Source organism: Homo sapiens, chromosome 13 (genome assembly GCF_000001405.40).
Source record: "Homo sapiens chromosome 13, GRCh38.p14 Primary Assembly".
In the NCBI taxonomy this organism is placed as follows: Eukaryota; Metazoa; Chordata; class Mammalia; order Primates; family Hominidae; genus Homo; species Homo sapiens.
This window is the reverse complement of record NC_000013.11, coordinates 63,194,555-63,215,627: the sequence shown is the minus strand read 5'-3', so window position 1 is coordinate 63,215,627 and position 21,073 is coordinate 63,194,555. Positions and strand designations below refer to the sequence as shown.

The window sequence follows — 21,073 nt, the reverse complement described above, 5'->3', positions numbered from 1 at the left end:
GATGGTCTACGGGGCTTCTGAGGCAATGGGGCAGCATCAGTCTTCAGCTGCTAAGCTGAGAAGGAGTCAGTCAGAGAGCCTCGGGCCAGAGTTCCAGGGGCTCTGGGAGTGGCTGCCAGGTGAGTTGAACAGTCCGATTTCCAGTGGGGTCCTGCACAGATGGGACACGGCTTAGGAGGAAACCTGGGCTGCAGGCATTCCTTGGCCTGGTGGTCAGATTTCTGGCACTTATAGCAAGCTCCTAGGGGAGGAGGTTCTGGAGGAACGCCTGGCTGCTGCGGTTCAGGCGTTTGGAAGTTCTTGTGTGCTGGAGATGTGGCTGGAGTTTGTCTCACAGTGGAGGCAAGTAATTGCAACTTTTTTATATTATTGTATACCTTGAAGGCGAGGTTAATTAAATCCTTTTGTGGGGTTTGAGGGCCGGAATTTAATTTTTGGAGTTTTATTTAATGTCGGGAGCAGATTGGGTAATAAAATGTATTTTGAGAATAAGACAGCCTTTTGATCTTTTAGGGTCTAGGGCTGTAAAGTGTCTCAGGGTTGCTGCCAAACGAGCCATGAACTGGGCTGGATTTTTATATTTGATGAAAAAGAGCCTAAACACTATCTGATTTGGGATAAAGAAAAAGGAGCGTTAACTTTGACTGTGGCTTTAGCTCCAGCCACCTTTTTAAGAGTAAATTGCTGGGCAGGTGGGGGAGGGCTAGTCATGGAATGAAACTGTAAGCCAGACCAGGTGTGAGGAGGGGAGGTGATAAAAGGATTATAGGGTGGAGGAGCTGAGGCTGAGGAAGAATTGGGACCTAGGTCGGCCTGGCGAGGAGCAGCCTGGGGAGGAGGGGAGAGGTCAGATGGGTCTGTAGAAAAGGAAGAGTAGAAAGACTCAGCAACGCTTGGGGTTGGGACCGAGGGGACAGGTGGGAGGGAAAGAAGGAATATTTGGGACGAGTTGCACTGGGCACAGAGACTAGGGAGGGACCAATGTGTAAAAGAATGCCTGGACATCAGGCACCTCAGACCGTTTGCCAATTTTACGACAAGAATTATTTAGATCTTGCAGGATGGAAAAATTGAAATGCCATTTTCTGGCTATTTGGAACTACTGTTGAGTTTGTATTGGGGTCAAGCAACATTGCAGAAGAAAATAAGATGCTTAGATTTTAGGTCAGGTGAGAGTTGAAGAGGTTTTAAGTTCTTAAGAACACAGGCTAAGGGAGAAGAAGGAGGAATGGAGGGTGTACGGTTGCCCATAGTGAAGGAGGCAAGCCCAGAGAAAAGAGAGAGTAGAGACACGGAGGGAAGGGGTTCGGGGGTTCTTACCCTCCAGAAAAGCGGGAAGGGGGTCGGGGCACAGAGATACGAGGTCGGGGTGCAGAAATAAGGGATTGGAGTGCAGAGATATAAGAGGCTGGGGCACAGAAATAAGGGATCGGGGTGCAGAGATATAAGAGGTTGGGGAGCGGAAATAAGGGATCGGGGCACAGAGATATAAGGGTTTGGGGTACTTTCCCCTCCCCCAGAAAAGCGGGACTTGCCGCTAAGGGTGAAGGAGAAGGGGTTGGGGGTTTCTTGCCCCCTAGAAGGTGGAGAAGGGGTAGAGACATGGAGAGAAGGGATTGGGGTACTTGCCCCTTCCCCAGAAAAGTGGGACTTGCTGCTAAGGGTGAAGGACCAAGGCAGGCGTCCTTGCATGGTCTGACACCTCTGAAACCTGGGTAAATAATCAGAGAGGCGTCCCTGCAATGATTAAACACCGGCGCCGGAGTTTTGGGTCCACGGATAAAACGTGTCTCCTTTGTCTCTACCAGAAAATGAAAGGAATTGAAATTAAGAGAAGGGAGAGATTGAAGTGTGGTGCCAAGATTGAAAGGAGAAAGAGGTTGAGGGATAGTGAGGGAGGCTGGAGAAGAGAGTAAAAAGAGGCCGCTTACCGGTTTTGAAATTGGTGAGATGTTTCTTGGCCTGGTTGGTCTGAGGACCTGAGGTCCTAGGTGGATCTTTCTCAGGGAGCAAAGAGCAGGAGGACAGGGGATTGATCTCCCAAGGGAGGTCCCCCAATCCGAGTTACAGCACCAAATTTCATGCACGTCCGTGGGAAGAGACCACCAAACAGGCTTTGTGTGAGCAACGAAGCTGTTTATTTCACCTGGGTGCAGGTGGGCTGAGTCCGAAAAGAGAGTCAGCAAAGGGAGATAGGGGTGGGGCCAATAGGATTTGGGTAGGTGAAGGAAAATTACAGTCAAAGGGGGGTTGTTCTCTGGTGGGCAGAGTGGGGGTCACAAGGTGCTCAGTAGGGGAACTTTTGAGCCAGGATGAGCCAGGAGAAGGAGTTTCACAAGACAATGTCATCAGTTAAGGCAGGAACCGGCCATCTGGATATGTACATGCAGGTCACAGGAGATATGATGGCTTAGTTTGGGCTCAGAGGCCTGACATGCATACTCTATAATTCCACTGATATACATTTCTATGAAATGTAAACTAATCAGAAAGCAGATTAATAGTTGGCTGGGAATGCAGGAGTTGGGTATAATAAAACAAAGGGGCATGAGGAAAATTTGGGGGTGATTATGTTCAAAAGCTTGATTGTGATGATGACTTTACACGTGTGTCAAATCTTATCAAATTGTATGCTTTAAATGCATGCAGTTTTTATGTCAATTATTCCTTAAAAAGGCTGTTAAAATATATAAAAACATATTCTGGCACAAAGGAGAATAAAATAAGTTCTCCAGGGCCTTGTTATTCAAAGCATTAAACCATATAATTTTTCTTATAGGTCTGCAACAGATTAAGAAGCTTATACCAGAATGTAGCGCATTGCCTTGTACCTTTCATTGAGAAAGTCTTTCTGTGAGAAAAATATATAAACAGAACTAAACAGTCAGCTTAGTCACATGCTACTTATCTTGCTGCAGACCTACTGCACACAGTTCACAGACTAAATAAACTTTCCATAGAATTAAGATGCCATCTTTATCATACACTAAAAATGTATTTGTTTTTGTGGATATATGTGCATGTGTATAATCATATGTATGATCCCACTTCAAACTTTACCTTGTTCTACTGATTTGTCTTTTTCTTCATGTTCCATTACCAGACTATGCCAAATATTAAAACAAGTTTTAAATTCAATCAGGGTTTGTACACCTTGATTACATTTTTTAAAATATTCACTGGCCATTCCTTTATATTTTTTCTAATTCATCTTAGAATGATTCTCTGTAGTTCCAAATATAAGATCTCCTTATATTTTTTATTGAGATCATATGAGACTTTTTGTAACATATTAGAAAAAATGTACATTTTTTGATATTGAAATATCAGAACATAGTATGTTTTTAAATTTCATTAAACGTTTTTCCATGAGATTTATAGAGATTTTTCTTTTCTCTTTTTTTTTTTTTTTTTTTTTTTTGAGACTGAGTCTCACTCTGTTGCCCAGGCTGGAGTGCAGTGGTGCAATCTCGGCTCACTGCAAGCTCCGCATCCCAGGTTCACGCCATTCTCCTGCCTCAGCCTACCTAGTAGCTGGGACTACAGGCGCCTGCCACCACACCTGGCTAATTTTGTTGTTGTTGTTGTTGTTGTTTTTGTTTTTTTAGTAGAGACGGGGTTTCACCATGTTAGCCAGGATGGTCTCAATCTCCTGACCTCGTGATCCGCCTGCCTCGGCCTCCCAAAGTGCTGGGATTACAGGCATGAGCCACGGTGCCTGGCCGAGATTTTTCATACACATCAATATTTCTTTTGGGCACTTATTCATATTGTTTGTATTAAATGGCATTGTTCACTGTATATTTTCTGCTATGTTTTGTATTAGGTAATTCATTTATTTAGTCAATAGATATTTATTTATTTAGTCAATAGATATTTATTTATGTTTCTGGCATCATTCTGGGCACTAGGGATAAGCCAAGAAACAAAGCAGATATAAATTCTTCACTCAAGCAACATTTGGTCCTGATAAACATGTTTGAGGGTTGCAGTTTTGCCTAGGATGGCCTGGAAATGCTTGACTGAGAAGAAGTTTAGAGAAACAAACTGATTAAACGTGAGAGGTAGCCATCTGGGTATCAAAGGGACACTATTCTAAGCAGAAAAAAAGAGCAAGTATAGGGCTACACCATTACTGGAAGGTTTGAGGAACATCGAGAAAATCCATGTGGCTAGAATAGAGTGAGCAGAAGTATAATGTGTTCTAAGAACTAATGGGGATGGTGATCGTGTAGTATTTTCAATATGAATAAAACGGGATGCCATTTTCCATATGTATTTTCAATATGAATAAAACGGGATGAGTGCTTTGAGCAGAGGAATAACAATATATATGTTTTGAGAAGATCAATCTGGTGGTTATATTGAGAATAAATTTAAGGCAGTAAGGGTAGAAACAGGAAGAACAGTAATTAGGTGATTTTAAAAGTCTTTATAGAAAAATGCAGTGGTTTTAGTCAGGATAGTACCAGTGGGTTTGGTGAGAAGTAGTCTCATCTTGAATATATTTTAAAAATAAATATTGAGATTTCCTGCTGGACCAGATGCATGAAGATAAAACAAAAAGGAGGAAGGAAAGTCAAGGGTAAAACTCAGGTGTACCAGGTGTAGGTGTGTGCAATTAGAAGAATAATGTTATCACTAGCTGTGATGATGAAGACTACAGGAAGAGGAGCAGGGTTGGAGAGAAATAAAAGAAGCTCAGATTTGGGCATGCTATGCTTGAGATTCCTATGATGAATCCAAAGAGAAATGTCATATAGGTAGTTAGACATACATATCAGAAATTTAGAGAACACTGGATTGAATTCTTCAGCATACGGATGGTGTATAAAGCCAGGAGACTATATAAGATAAACTAAAATGGGAGTATAGATAGAAAAATAATCATATAGTTGATCCCTGGGCCAACGTAAACATTCACAGTTGGGAGAAACAAAGAGGAAACAGAAAAGTCACCAAAAAAAGAAATCATAGTTAGAAGATGAGCTCTCCATGAAGTCAAGGAAATGCATTATTCACAAAGGAAAAGCAATTAGCAAATCTGAGTGCTTACAGATAGTTCAAGAAGGATAACAACAGAGCAATTACAATTGCATTTAGTAAAGTGGAGGTAATTGATGACCTTGATCACAGCAGTTTGGGTAGGATGTTGAGGATGAAATGTAATTTTAATGAAGACAAGTTTAGACAATCCTTTCAAGTAAAAATGACAGAAATGAGGGGGTAGTTAGAAGAAGAGGCAGATACAAAACAAATTTTCATCTTAATGCACTAATGGGAATAATTCAGTCTAGAAAGAAATAAATAACAGAGGATAAATGGGAAAATTCTGGGGTAAGAAAGCAAGAGGGGATGGAATCTAGGATACTTTTGCAGAGGCTGATATTATCTAGGCTCTTAGTGCTACAATTCATGGTGGCAAGAAGAAAGGAAGGACAGATATATAACCACAGGTGCAGGTAGATGGCTCGATGAAATTAATTTTTCTGTCTATTAGCAAGATTGTCAGCTGCAATTTAAAATAAGAGGAGGAGGATTCAAAGTTTGATGAAAGAGGAGAAAATATGAAAAAAATGAGAAAGTTAATGGGCTAAGAAAATAGTGTCAGGCAGGAGTAAAGGTTCACTTAAGATTATTGAACATCAATTTGAAATGAGAAGTGTGTTTGTGTGTGTGTGTGTGTGTGTGTGTGTGTTTGCCAGTCATGAATAACTTTGTCAGCCCAGGCATGAGATGGGCAGAGAGTTGGATTAACCAGGGTTATGTTTTATCTTAATGAGCACAACCACAAGTCTGATTTACACAAATTCTGATTTACACAGGTCTGACGCAATTGTACCCGGTCTACAAACAAAGATATATCTGATGATAGATATGCTTCGTTGGGTGTCATTCTTTACAGAATAGGATTGATCAGAAACTTGGTTCCAGTTTATCTCATTTAAAGAGCAGGACCTTGATGTTAGTATCTACAGAATTGACTCAGATGATTCAATTAGCAGCAGCAATTTATTTTGAGTTTGCGGCCCCAGAAAGGGATGCTTCTAATCTGCCATACTATAGTTTTTCAAGTGAATTCCAGAGGCCTAAGTCATTGGCAACAGCTCCGGAGTCAAGAAACATATTCGTCCTGTCATTCACCAAAGCTCTTCCTCATAGTTCTTAGCACTTTCAGCCTCCTGAGTCCAGCATCTCTTTCCCCCATGGGAGGGGGTATACTGATGACTTTGGTGCCTATATGCAATAGAGCTATAACAGTTTGAGTCCTTCCCCTCCTCCCAAATTTTCCAGGATTCTCAGTGTTTTCTTTAAAGTACCCAAAATAGTGGGAGACAAGGAGGGCATCATCAGATGGCGTAGAGGGAGATAGAGGCTTAGCTCTATTAAGTAAAACTTCTCATTCACTTACAGGTTCAAGTGGCTATACATTTTCAACAAATGAACATCTGGGTTTGGTTCATTCAAAGCTCTCTATCATTATTACTGACACCATTGATTTTAACTTTGGGGATCTTTGACTCAGCAGCCACAACCATATTGCCTTTACTTTGAGGCCTCAGACCTTTGTGGTGTTCACATTCTTTCCTCCTCTTTTCCAAAGGAGGGTGAGTAACAACTAAGGGTGGTGAACAACCAAGCAGAGTGAATAACAGTCGATCAGGAGGCTGGTTTCAGTTCTAACTCTCCCTCTTTAGCCTTTAAACATTCATTAACAGATAAGACAGTGGAAAACACTCATTCTGAGAGCCAGCCTTCCCATACTCGTGAACATTCACTCGTCCTGGAGAGTCTTTTTATTCCCATTCTCTCCATCTCTTCTCTTCTAAGAAGCCATGTCTCTGTGAGGTATCACATGCTTGTCACCAAAATTGTCCAGAACAGTGCAGGGTCTGAGATTTTATCTTTTTAAAAAGCTAAGAAGCTCTCTTATTGATGTTTCATGGATGCAGAATGCCTGTTGTGATGCCTGCGCACATGGTAGAATTTTTCGTAGGAGAGAAGCACTGAGCTTCTGGAATCATCACATTTATAGAAGGCTGAAGTTAGTCTGATCTTCACCTGGGCATAGACATAACCTCAACCCTCAAGATGGCTTGCTGTAAACACAGGACAAATGGTCTGAGTGAAAAGTACACAGGACCTTGCACATTTGGCTGTCACAGCAAGAAGGTGCAAGGGCATGCAAGGTTTCTAGCAGTTTTCCCATCTCAAAAAAGAGATATGCTAAAGAAATCTATGACATGATGACAAAAGGAATCTAATTGGTCTGCGTTGGCCAATTAAATCTAGAAAAAGAAAAATAACATTAAATACTCATAAATTGAGTAGAAGTCTTGGGTCATTATTTTAACACACAGAAGCATAAAAGCATTCACCTCATTCACCTTCAGATTTAACAGAAGAACTAGAGAGTCCAGGGCCATTGAAATGGTAAAGATGAATAATGTATATCAGAAGTCAGTGAACTTGGCCCCCAAATCAGTTGCCTGTTTCCATAAACACAGATTTCACAGAATGTGGCCATGCACATTCATGTACTTATTATCTATGGCTGATTTTTGTTTGCTTTATTTTTCTTGAGAGGAAAAAATAGTGATGTTGTAACAGTGATAGTGAAGCCTACAGATTTAAACTGTATGCTATTTGGCTTTTTGTTTCTTTTTTCTTTTTTTGAGACAGAGTCTTGCTCTGTTGCTCGGGCTGGCACAATCTTGGCTCAGTGCAACCTCTGCCTTCCAGGCTCAAGCTATTCTCTTGCCTCAGCCTCCTGAGTAGCTGTGTTTGCAGGCATGTGCCGCAACAGCCAGCTAATTTTTTGTATTTTCAGAAGAGACGGGGTTTCACTATGTTGGCCAGGCTGGTCTCAAACTCTGGCCTCGAGTGATCTGCCCACCTCGGCCTCCCAATGTGCTGAGATTACAGGAGTGAGCCACTATTCTTGGCCCTATTTGGCTTTTTAAGTGAATATTTGTTGACTGCTGATGTATGTTTACATGTACGTAATGGAGAATGAGAGATTTTTTAAACATCTATATAATTCTCTGTTGTTCTCCTAATCATTTTTAGGTTATAAAACCAGGTGACCAAACAACAGCCCTATATTCTTAGCTAAATTCATGAACTCATCTCTCTTCAGATAATTGAACTCTACAAACTTTAAAATGAAACATCAATGCTGTGATCAGTATATGATTAGAGGGGAGGAAAATATGATCAACATTTAGGCAGTTTGGTGACTTCTGTCTTTCAACACCACATTTCTGAAATAAATCATATGCAATGCTGAACTGGTTTGGGTATTCACAATCTGTTAAGGCAAGCAGCTTGAAAGACGCCTGAGGCTAGCCTAAGGTCAAAGCCACTAACGTGAACTAAAATCATCAATAAATGAGATTTTTTATGATATTTTAATTAAGCTCATTCTGTCATTATATGCATTGCAAATTTGACCTTTAGTATCAAACCAACTTATTATGTGCATTTGGCATTTTCTCCATGTAAATTTTAAAATAAAAAAATAAAATTGTATTCTTCATGCTATTTCAAAAGTAAGGTTTTAACTGAAATGGGCAGTTTTGATTTTTTTTTATGATAAATGAAACTGGAATGCAAACTAGATTCATATCCTAGAGCATTTGTGATATGATTTGTTATAAGTACACTCATAGAAATAAAGCCTGTAAGAGCAATATTTTCTACTTAGAGTTTTTAATAGTGTTCTTATACTCTTTAAGAGAAAAAATGAAGTAACTAGACACCACTCCTGGTGATACTTAATTCTATTTCATTTTTTAAAAAACCATAGAAATGCCATAGATACTTCCTTAATGTTCTAAGGAATTTTCTTGTTTTCTACCCTCCAAGCCTCAGACTTCACTCTTTCCGAGAAAATTTAGAAAGAAAAATTATTTGGAATTTTAACCATCAGAAAACTTCATCTGTTTTTTTAATGACTAAGAAGCCCCAAAGGACTGTATTTTCTGACCTACCATACATTTTCTTGATGAGGCCAATAAATCTTGTTGCATAGTGAAGCTAAAATTTCTCTGTAGGGAAATCCCCATCTGTTACTGTATCTTCAACACAATGTTGCAGCCAGTTTTAAAATTAATAACTACAGAAAATAATCACATGCTTGATGCCATTATTAAAATCTTCTCATTTTTCAATTATGTGTTTTCACACAGCATTATGTTTAACATAATGTAACAATACATTTTAAAGCAAATTTCACATTTGATTACATTGATATCTCATGTAATATAGATGAATTAATTCAATCAAAATGATGAGACTGTTTATGAGTTTGGATATTCAATCCATATTCTTCTACATTGACTTTATTTAGTATTGGTCTTGTCATATCCTATGTAGTTTATGGGAAAATGAGCCAGGGAAACACCCTAACAGATTCCTAGAATTCCACCACCGTTAATTGTACTACAGTTAATCTCCTACTGATTCAATTTCTCTGGAGAACCTTGACTAATACAATAAATTTTCACACCATAAAGTTATTATTTCTTCTTCTTTACTTAACTTTATTGATGATCCCCCTCCAATGTTGACTTTTTATAGAGTTGGTAATTAGCAAGTTCACTAATGGAAGCTGAAAAGACTACTTATATCATGTGATGACAATTAACATGCTTCTCGAAACTACAAACTTCAGGCTAAATATGTTTAAAGTATAAGTTAGGCATGATCACCAAAGAGCAGCTGAATCCTGCTTTTCTTGATGGCCTCCATTCCTCCAGTTTCTTCAATAGACAATTGGGACTAAATTCATGATGCCTCACAAAAATATTCTCTTGCCTCCAGTACCTGCATACTCTTTTTTTTTAATTGTTCAACTGCTACTCTCATAATCTTTTGTAAATTTTCTATTTGAATTTGCACTTCTCTTTAATATAATATTTCCCTGGACTCACCAAAGTGTCATCTCACATTGAGAAAATTATTCTCTAGTATCAACTGTTTTGATAATATTGACTTCTTTATCTCAATGGAAATCTTACTGTCTGTCGATACTTTACTCCAAGACCATGGCTTTCCTTATAAGGATGTGTAGATTAATTTTTGCTATTTGCCATAAATTTAAAAAAAAACTCAAATTCAAAATTCCACTCTGGTAACTTCCTTCAATACTTCCAACTTGTTTGCTCACACAGTTTTCAACTTCATTAGTATCTTATTCTGATTCTTATATCTTCTTCTTATCCACTATAGCCATTTATCGTTAACCTTTCATTAATTCAACATTTATTTATTTAATAACTACTATATACTCATTGTGATTTTGATCTATAATTTTCTGAAAACTAAAGATGTTGAACATCTTTTTATGTTCTTATAGGTCATTTGTATATCTGCTCTGGAAAAAAAATGTTTATTCAAGTCCTTTGCCTATTTTAAAAAATAGATTATTAGTCTTTTTATAATTGTATTATAAAGGTTCCTTGTATATTCTAAATATAAGTTGCTTATCTTATAAATGACTTTGAAATCTTTACTTCCATCCAGTGGGTTTTCTAAGTTTAGTGACAGTCCTTTGATATACAGAAGTTTTAAAATTTTGAAGTCCTATGTATCTGTATTTTAAAGTTGTGTGACTCATGCATTTAGTGTCAAATCTAAGAATCATTTGCCAAATTAATGGTCATTAAGATTCACTCCGTGTTTTCTCATAAGAATTTTATAGTTTTAGCTCTTACATTTAGGTCTTTGATTCATTTTGAATTAATTTTTGTATATGATGTGAGGTAAGGACCCAATTTCATCCTTTGGCTATCCTGTCTCACAGCATTTGTTGAAAAGGCTATTCTTTCCTTTTTACATGGTCTTGTTACACCTATAGAAAAATCAGTTAACCATAGATGTAACAGTTAATTTTTGCATTTTCAATTCTATTCCATTGATCTATAAAATTTTCTTTGTGTGACTAACACAATGTCTTGATTACTGTTACTTTAAGTAAGTTTTGAAATTGGAATGTGAGTGGTCTCCTACTTTGTTCTTTTTCAAGATTATTTTGAGTTTCTGAATCCCTTTCAATTGTACGTTAATTTGAAAAATCAACTTGTCATTTTTTAAGAAAGAAGTCAGCAGGGGTTCTAGTAGAGATCGCATTCAATCTGTACATCAAATTTGGGGAGTATTGCCGCTGTGAAGTAGGTTCACTGATTATGAATCCTAAAGGAAGACTCCCATTGCATGCAAGCTAGCAAAAATCACCACCATGCCAACCTTCAGGAACAGTAGTCTAAATTTCAGTCCACTAACTCTTGAGTTACACTTTTCTTACTTGCTCAAATCTGATGACACAGATCACACACAAACCAAGTTATATGAAGCAGATTTATTGTTTACAGATAGAAAGGTAGCCGAGGACAATGGAAACCTAAAATTCGTGATGATCCAGTACCCCAATGCTCAGGAAAATTGCCAAGGGTAGATAGAGTTTCATCTGCATATGCCCCACTTGCCGCACAGCTGAGTTACCTCAAAAAGTAGCCTGCCCTTGGTTTTATACCCTGCAGGAAACATGTTTGGCTAAAGTACTGAATGACATCCTGTTTCTAGGGAAACAGAAACAGAGGCCAGGTTGTCCCCAGCAGTCTTCCCTAACTCATGATGTGAGGTTCCTGAGGAGTGACAGGAACAAAGTCCGGGCTATTTCAGGCAGTTTCTCCCCATCTCAGGATGCATTCCCTGTGTACTCTATGGTTATTCTGAGAACCACAATTAAGAAGAGAGGAGAGAAACTGGGTCAGCCAAACCTACTCAAGGATCATCATGCAGTCAGATTAACAACTTTAAGTCTTCTGACCCATAAACATGGGATATATTTCCATTTATTTAGGTGTTACTTACTTTTCCATAATGTTTTCTAATTTTCAGGGTATATGTTTTATATTATCTTAGTTAAATTTATTCCCAAGTATTAGATTCTTTTTTATGCTATTTTATTTTATTAATTTTATTTCCAGAATGTTCATTGCTAATATATAAACATATATGTGATTTCATATATTGATTGTGTGTCCTGAAAACTTTCTTAATTTATTAATTTTAATTTACTTTAGTGGATTTCTTATGATTTTCTATATACAGTTTACTCTTGAACAATGTTAGGGGTGCTGAGCTCTATGCAGTTGAAAATTCATGTATAATTTTTAGCTCCCCCAAAACTAAACTACTAATAGCCTACTGTTAACTGGAAGCCTTTCTGATAACATAAACAATTAACACATATTCTGTATGTTTTATATACTATATACTGTATTTTTGCAATAAAGTAACCTATAAAAAAGGAAATGTCATCAAGAAAATCATAACAGAGAAAATATAATTATTATTCATTACGTGGATGTAACTCATCATTGTGTTACGCTGAGTAGGCTGAGGAGGAGGATGAAGAGGAGCAGTTGTTCTTGCTGTCTTGGGGTGATAGAGGTTGAAGAGAGTTTGAAGAGGATGTGGAAGGGGAGGCAGGAGTGGCAGACACATTTTGTGTATTTTTATTGCAAAAAAATTCATATACAAGTGATATAAGTGGACCCCACAGTTCAAACTTAGGTTGTTTTGAAGGGTCAACTGCATAAGATCATATTATCTCCAAATACGAATTGTTTTACTTCCTCTTTTTCAATCTAGATAAATATTTACTGACTCTTTACTCTGGCTACAACCCCTAATACAATGTTGAATATCAGTAGTGAGAGCAGACCACTTTGTCTGACCTTAAAAGGAAAAGTGTCAGTCTTTCACCACTAAATGCAATGTTACAATATCAGCTGTGTGTTTTTCATAGATGACCTTCATCACATTGAGTGTATTCATTAATATTCTACTCTGTGAGTGTTTTTTAATCATCAAAGGGATTTAGATGCTGTCAAATTGTTTTTCTGCACTTGTTGATATGATGATGTAATTCTTGTATTTTATTCTATTAATATGATGCATCATACTGATTGATTTCCTCATCTTGATCCATCTTTGTAGTCCTGAGGTACATTCCACTTCATCAGGGAGCATCATTTTCTTTTTATGTTGTCAGATTTGGTTTGATGATTTTGTTGAGGATGAATGCATCTATATACATAAGAGATTTGGTTTATAATTTTCTTCCTTGGGGATCTTTTTTATCAGGGTAATACTAAGCTAATAAAATAAGTTGGCATGCATTTTCTCTGTATCTTCGAAAGACGTTGTGAGGAATTTGAATTAATTATTTGTTAAATGTGTAGTAGAATTTAGTGTGAAACCACTGGGCCAGGGCTCCTATTTGGATAGGTTTTGATTATTCATTCTAACTCTTCATTTTTTACAGGTATATTCAGATAGCTGTTTCTTCTTCAGTCTCTTGTAGCTTGCATTTTTTTTTTCAGAACCTGTCTATTTAACCTTTCCAATTTGTTGTAGTAAAATTATTTCTATCATTCCTTTATAATCCTTTTATTTCTGTAAGGGCAATAGTAATATCCCCTCTTTCATTTCTAACTTTACAATTTTTTCTTGGTTATTCTAGTTACGGTTTATCAATTTTGCTGATCTTTTAAATGAACCAGCCTTTCATTTTATTGATTTTTTTGCTACAACTTTTCTATTTTTAATTTCATTAATTTAGGTTTAGTTTGCTTTTCTTTTCTAGTGTCTTAAGGTAGATGACTAGATTAATAGTTTGAGATTTTTCCTCTTTCATAATGTAGTTATGATAAGAGCAAATTTCCTTTTAAGTGCTACCTTAGCTGATTCCCAAATGTATTGATATGTGTGTCTTCCTTTTCATTCTTCTGAAAATATTTTTAAATTATTTTTGATTTTTTATTTGACCAATTGTTTAAAAGTGTTTCACTTAATTTTCACATATTGGTAAGTTTCCAAAAACTTACTTCTGTTACTGTTTTTATTTTGTTTTATTTTATTTTGTTTTATTTTATTTTATTTTATTTTAATTTATTTTATTTTGTTTTATTTTATTTTATTTTATTTTATTTTATTTTATTCCATTGTTGTCAGAGCACTGTTTTTTAACATATTGAAGTTTGTTTTATAATCTAGCTTATGGGCCGGAGAATGATCTATGTATGCTTGAGAAGAATGTATATTCTGTCATTGTTAGCCTTAGTATTCTGTACTATTAGATTTAGTTGGCTTTTCGTTTTAAGTGTCCTATTTATCTGTTGATCTTTTGTCTTGTTGTTGTTTCCATTATTGAGTAGATTATTGAAATCTCCAACTATTATTTTTGAATTTTCTATTTCTTCATTTGTGTTAGTTTATGTTATATATTCTGGTGTTCTCTTATTAGATGTATACATGTCTATAATTGATATATCTTCTTTGTGGATTAGCCTTTTGGTCATTAGGAAATGTTCATATTTATTTCTCACAATATTTTTGTCTGTTTTAAAGTTAATTTGGACTGGGCGTGGTGGCTCACGCCTGTAATCCCAGCACTCTGGGAGGCCAAAGTGGGCAGATCACGAGGCCACGAGATCCAGACCATCCTGGCCAATGTGATGAAACCCTGCTCTACTAAAAATACAAAAATTAGCTGGGCGTGGTGGCACGCACCTGTAGTCCCAGCTACTCAGGAGACTGAGGCAAAATAATCATTTGAACCCGGGACGTGGAGGTTGCAGTGAGCTGAGATTGTGTGCCACTGCACTCCAGCCTGGCAAAAGAGCGAGACTCTGTCTCAAAAAAAAAAAAAAAAGTTTATTTATATGTTAATATAACCACTCCAGCTTTCTTGTAGTTGCTGTTTACATAATATACATTTTTTCCATCTATTTGCATTGAATGTGTTTCTATCTTGAAACTAAAGTGTGCCTTCTATATGTACACATAGGCAAATCATGGTTTTTGGCTTTTTAAAATTTTTTAGCTAAAGTTTTCTGCATTTTGTTGGATTATTTAATCCATTCACATTAAATATTAATATTGTTATTGATATAGTTGAGTTTATGTTTAATATTTTATTTTATGAAAGTTTCATGCCCTCTGTGGCATGACACCTTACATGTACTCTGCACATATGCAGAGGTCCCTAAACCCTGTAGTTCAGGGATTTTTACAGAGGCTTCATTGTGTAGACATGATAGGTGATTAACTCCATAGCCAGCTACTCTTTCCCTTCCTGGAGGATGAAAAGTGAGGCTAAACATTTTAAGCTTCTAATCATAACTTGGTCTTTTTGGTTACCAATTCCCATCCAGGGGCCTACCAAGGTCACCTCATGAGAACAAAAGACATTCCTATTACTCAAGAAAATCCAAGTGATTAGAAGTTCTGTGTCAGGAACCAGGATCAAAGACCAAATATTAGAACAAAAGATTCTCTTAGCAACCCTATTTCCACAGGTAATTGCAAGAATTTTAGGCCTTCTGTACAAGGAACTGGAGACAAAGTTTTATATATATATATATATATATATATATATGTATATATATGTATATATTTATATTTTTATATATGTATATATTTGTATTTATATGTATATCTCATATATGTGTGCATGTAATATATATATTATATATATGCAATATGCATTTAAATTTATTCCTTATCTTTTCATGGCTCGATAGACTTTTTTTTGGAACTAAGATTTAGTTTCCTGAATCTACCACCGTTTGTTTATCTATTTACCTATTGAAGGATATCTTGTTTGCTTCCATGTTTTGACAGTTGTATAAATCTGCTATAAAATTTCATCTGCAGGTTTTTGTGTGAGCATAAATTTTCAACTTATTTAGACAAATACAAAAGAGCATGAATGCTGCATAATATGGTAAATGTATGCTTAGTTTTGTAAGAAACTGCCAAATTACTTTGCAAAGTAGCTGTATATTTGCATTTCCACCAGCAATAAATAAGAATTTCTGTTGCTTCATATCCTCACCAGCATTTTAGCAATTCTAATAGGTTTGTCATGTTGTCTTTTGGTTCTTTTAATGTGCAGTTCCCTAATGGCATGTGATAGAGAGTATCTTTTCATATGTTTATTTGCCATCCATATATCATCTTTGATGAGGTATCTGTTCAAATATTTTATACATTTTCCTCCTCCCAATAAGGTTTTTCATGAATTGAAAGCTGGAAAAAATAGCATTTCTTCATGAGAAAGTTAAAAAAATTACATTTTATTGTGATGCAATCACCTGACGAAGAAAAAAATAATAATTTTGTTTTATATAAATATTTAAATCTTTATTTTCAATTTACTTAATATCTTTACATTTTGTTTTACTTTACCATTTTCTTCAATTTTCTTTGATTTAATAGAAAATCAATGTGTTTATGATTTTAACTTAGGCTCAGGCTATTTTAATTATACAATCTATTCTTTTAGTATGTTCAAATAAAAAGAGACCCACTCAAACAGGAACATCCCTGATAAACATCATTTTAACAGGTGACCTTTTTCTTTGACATCAGATTTTATTTTAATAGCAACTATCTTCCACGATGCTTTTACTAATATGCTTCCATCTAACATATAAGAATAGTTGTGTCATAGGTAACTTAATCATCAACTACATTAATATTAATAAAAACACAAAACTAAGAGCCACAGTGGTGAAGCACTGTAACATAATGATTAAATGCATGGATTCTGGCACCAGACCCTCTATATTTCAATACTGAACGTATTTTTTAATGTTTGTAACTTTGAAAAAATTTCATATTATCTCTGCACCATAGCTTTTCAATCTCTAATATAAAGATGAGTGATAACATTTTAAAAAGTTAGTACAGAGGTAACATGGTTTAATATTGAAATTCTAAAGAACTTATGAAATTCTACTATCTGTTGATTAAAGATAACCCTGCATGTCATATGCACTGTGATTTCTACTAGCAGAATTCCATAGTAGACTAAATTTTGAAATTAAATAATTTAAGTAGGAGTATTGCCAGAAATTTGCATTCCTAATGTGAAAACTATTCTAGAGGTATGTGCACTCCAAAATAAAAGGGAATGCTGCTGAGAATTCAAATTTTGAGTGCATAGCTTATGAGAAAATACTTATATTCCTGGCACTGAGAGAAGAATTAAGTATTTTTGAGATTAAAATTATTGCTGACTGTGATTCTACTCCCCTTATGTGATAATAATGGCTTATCAAATAGAAAACATGGGCTCTTCCTCTAACTTCAAGACTTTAACTGAGTCTATTAAACATTCATGCTTTTTGTGCGACTTTCCTGGCATGTAAGAAACTCAAAAAGGCTCTGTAGCAGCAGCAGCCAATTCCACTTTTAAAAATTGCTCAACAGTTCTCCCATCATGGTCTCAGGGAAACCAAATATGCAGAACAAATAATCCACCCAATTAGAATTCACTATTGGAGAGTCTCAAGCAGCACTTCTGCTGAGTTGGCACAGAGCCACCTGCTGTAGTACCTCATCATGCTTTTGGAGCGTTTCCTGTGAAAAGAGGAGGGAATAGTGCATCCTGCAGTGCTATATCATGAAGATTGCCAGTTACAATGAAGTTTGTAGAAAATCATAATATATATATTTTTATTATCATACTTTAAGTTTTAGGGTACATGTGCACAACATGCAGGTTTGTTACATATGTATACATGTGCCATGTTGGTGTGCTGCACCCATTAACTTGTCATTTAGCATTAGGTGTATCTCCTAATGCTATCCCTCCCCCTTCCCCCCGACCCCACAACAGGCCCCGGTGTGTGATGTTCCCCTTCCTGTGTCCATGTGTTCTCATTGTTCAATTCCCACCTATGAGTGAGAACATGCGGTGTTTGGTTTTTTGTCCTTGCGATAGTTTGCTGAGAATGATGGTTTCCAGTTTCATCCATGTGCCTACAAAGGACATGAACTCGTCATTTTTTATGGCTGCATAGTATTCCATGGTGTATATGTGCCACATTTTCTTAATCCAGTCTATCATTGATGGACATTTGGGTTGGTTCCAAGTCTTTGCTATTGTGAATAGTGCCGCAATAAACATACATGTGCATGTGTCTTTATAGCAGCATGATTTATAATCCTTTGGGTATATACCCAGTAATGGGATGGCTGGGTCAAATAGTATTTCTAGTTCTAGATCCCTGAGGAATTGCCACACTGACTTCCACAATGACTGAACTAGTTTACAGTCCAACCAACAATGTAAAAGTGTTCCTATTTCTCCACATCCTCTCCAGCACCTGTTGTTTCCTGACTTTTTAATGATCGCCATTCTAACTGGTGTGAGATGGTATCTCATTGTGGTTTTGATTTGCATTTCTCTGATGGCCAGTGATGATGAGCATTTTTTCATGTGTTTTTTGGCTGCATAAATGTCTTCTTTTGAGAAGTGTCTGTTCATATCCTTCACCCACTTTTTGATGGGGTTGTTTGCCTTTTTCTTGTAAATGTGTTTGAGTTCATTGTAGATTCTGGATATGAGCCCTTTGTCAGATGAGTAGGTTGCAAAAATTTTCTCCCATTCTGCAGGTTGCCTGTTCACTCTGATGGTAATTTCTTTTGCTGTGCAGAAGCTCTTTAGTTTAATTAGATCCCATTTGTCAGTTTTGGCTTTTGTTGCCATTGCTTTTGGTGTTTTAGACATGAAGTCCATGCCCATGCCTATGCCCTGAATGGTATTGCCTAGGTTTTCTTCTAGGGTTTTTATGGTTTTAGGTCTGACATGTAAGTCTTTAATCCATCTTGAATTAATTTTTGTATAAGTTGTAAGGAAGGGATCCAGTTTCAGCTTTCTACATATGGGTAGCCAGTTTTCCCAGCACCATTTATTAAATAGGGAATCCTTTCCCCATTTCTTCTTTTTGTCAGGTTTGTCAAAGATCAGATAGTTGTAGATATGTGGCATTATTTCTGAGGGCTCTGTTCTGTTCCATTGGTCTATATCTCTGTTTTGGTACCAGTACCATGCTGTTTTGGTTACTGTAGCCTTGTAGTATAGTTTGAAGTCAGGTAGCGTGATGCCTCCAGCTTTGTTCTTTTGGCTTAGGATTGACTTGGCAATGCAGGCTCTTTTTTGGTTCCATATGAACTTCAAAGTAGTTTTTTCCAATTCTGTGAAGAAAGTCATTGGTAGCTTGATGGGGATGGCATTGAATCTATAAATTACCTTGGGCAATATGGCCATTTTCACCATATTGATTCTTCCTACCCATGAGCAGGGAATGTTCTTCCATTTGTTTGTATCCTCTTTTATTTCATTGAGCAGTGGTTTGTAGTTCTCCTTGAAGAGGTCCTTCACATCCCTTGTAAGTTGGATTCCTAGGTATTTTATTCTCTTTGAAGCAATTGTGAATGGGAGTTCACTCATGATTTGTCTCTCTGTTTGTCTGTTATTGGTGTATAAGAATGCCTGTGATTTTTGCACATTGATTTTATATCCTGAAACTTTGCTGAAGTTGCTTATCAGCTTAAGGAGACAATTAGGAAAAGAGGAAGTCAAATTGTCCCTGTTTGCAGATGACATGATTATATATCTAGAAAATCCCATCGTCTCAGCCCAAAATCTAGTCTATTGTTTTATAGTATTAACTATACCATGAAACATTGAACAATATAAGAGATAAGCACTTGGGAATATTCCAAACACTTTCTCCTTGAACTGACTGTGAGTGACTGGATGTGGGGCAAGTCATATTAAAGTTATCTATCCAACACCTGGTGAAATTGCAGTGTATACAGGCAGAGTCAATGTACAAAGTCTATTTCAGCCAGCAATTTTCTTTGGAAGTACTAAAATATCGCAATTGCTTTTTACTCTTCTAGTCTAGAGAAGTTCACTTTTTTATTTTCTAACACACAATTGTGTGAAGTCTACTCTTTTTATGTGTCATATTCAGGGGGAAAATTTTTCTTCAAGGGGGTTTATTGTAATAAAAACCTTTTAGATTTATTGTTACAAGATCCATTATGATATGTTGTCCGAATTCCATTTCATTTTAAAGTTGTTCAGAATCTTACATATCTTTTAAGTCTTTATGGCTAGGGAAGGAAGTATTTTATTGTACATTCCCAGATGGATAATTTACCATTTAAGTAGTGCCTTTATATAATGCAAGTCCTTCTTATCCCACATGCTTACTTACCTTTCCCAGTAGGTCTCTTATTTTTAAAAATTATGTAATCTGGAGGAAATATATCTTCATAACTTGGATTGTCTGCAGTAAAATTTGTCTTCCCTTTGCAATCTGGCAGTAGGATTACGTAGTCATCAGAGGACACTAGTGATTGCTTTTCTTTATATCATTTTAAAAGGAACCATTTTTGCAACACTTAAGATCTTTTCTCCACAATTCTGAGGGATGGGGAAACAAAAGGCAAAATCAAAACACATGTGATTCGAAAGATATAACTTACTAGCATCAGCAGAAAAAACAAAGATAGACCCTTTTCTTTTTGTGGACACATGCTGCCGGACAGTCAGATGCAGAACACTACAGAAATTATAGTGGGTAATATTTCTCATATGTGAAATAAATTCATATTCCAGAAATTATTTATTTTTGATCTGATATTAAAATTATTAAGTATTTGAACTTATTTTTATTTCTATATTATTGTGAGACCTGAATTATCCAATTTTAATGGTAATTTCCAAGCACAGTAAAATAAGTGTACTTAGAAAAAAATTACAATCTAGATTAAGAATGAACTGACTCTTCAGAGAATCAGGTGACCCTTTAGACTGAAAATACCTAATTATTGCAGTTCTTACATAAGGAATGTAACTAAAAGTAATTTAATTGTGTAAAAAATGCTTAGCAAAAATATAATCAAATGTTTACCTATTTGCTATCATCTGTAGTGAGAGGAATATTCAAATATCTGAAAGTAGATCTACAAAATACACATGGGAAACAAGATTAAGATTTAAAAAAGCATGTCTAAATAACATTTTAATTGTAAGTCATTTTTATGTATGTGTATCTATTTTTCTTAACAAAGTGAAATTACATTGCAAAAAACAGATTACTAAAACTTTTATTGTATTATATTACAGAGGAGTGCATAAAAACATATAATTTCATAAATATTAAGTAAACACATATTCTTCTACATTCTAAATGCT

At 36.0% G+C, this 21,073-nt stretch overlaps 1 long non-coding RNA gene across 1 annotated transcript in view; it reads left to right on the top strand.

Moving 5' to 3' along the window:
• LINC00376 (long intergenic non-protein coding RNA 376) overlaps nt 1–21,073 on the top strand; it is a 144,994-nt gene that overhangs the window by 112,467 nt on the left and 11,454 nt on the right. The window lies entirely within an intron of this gene.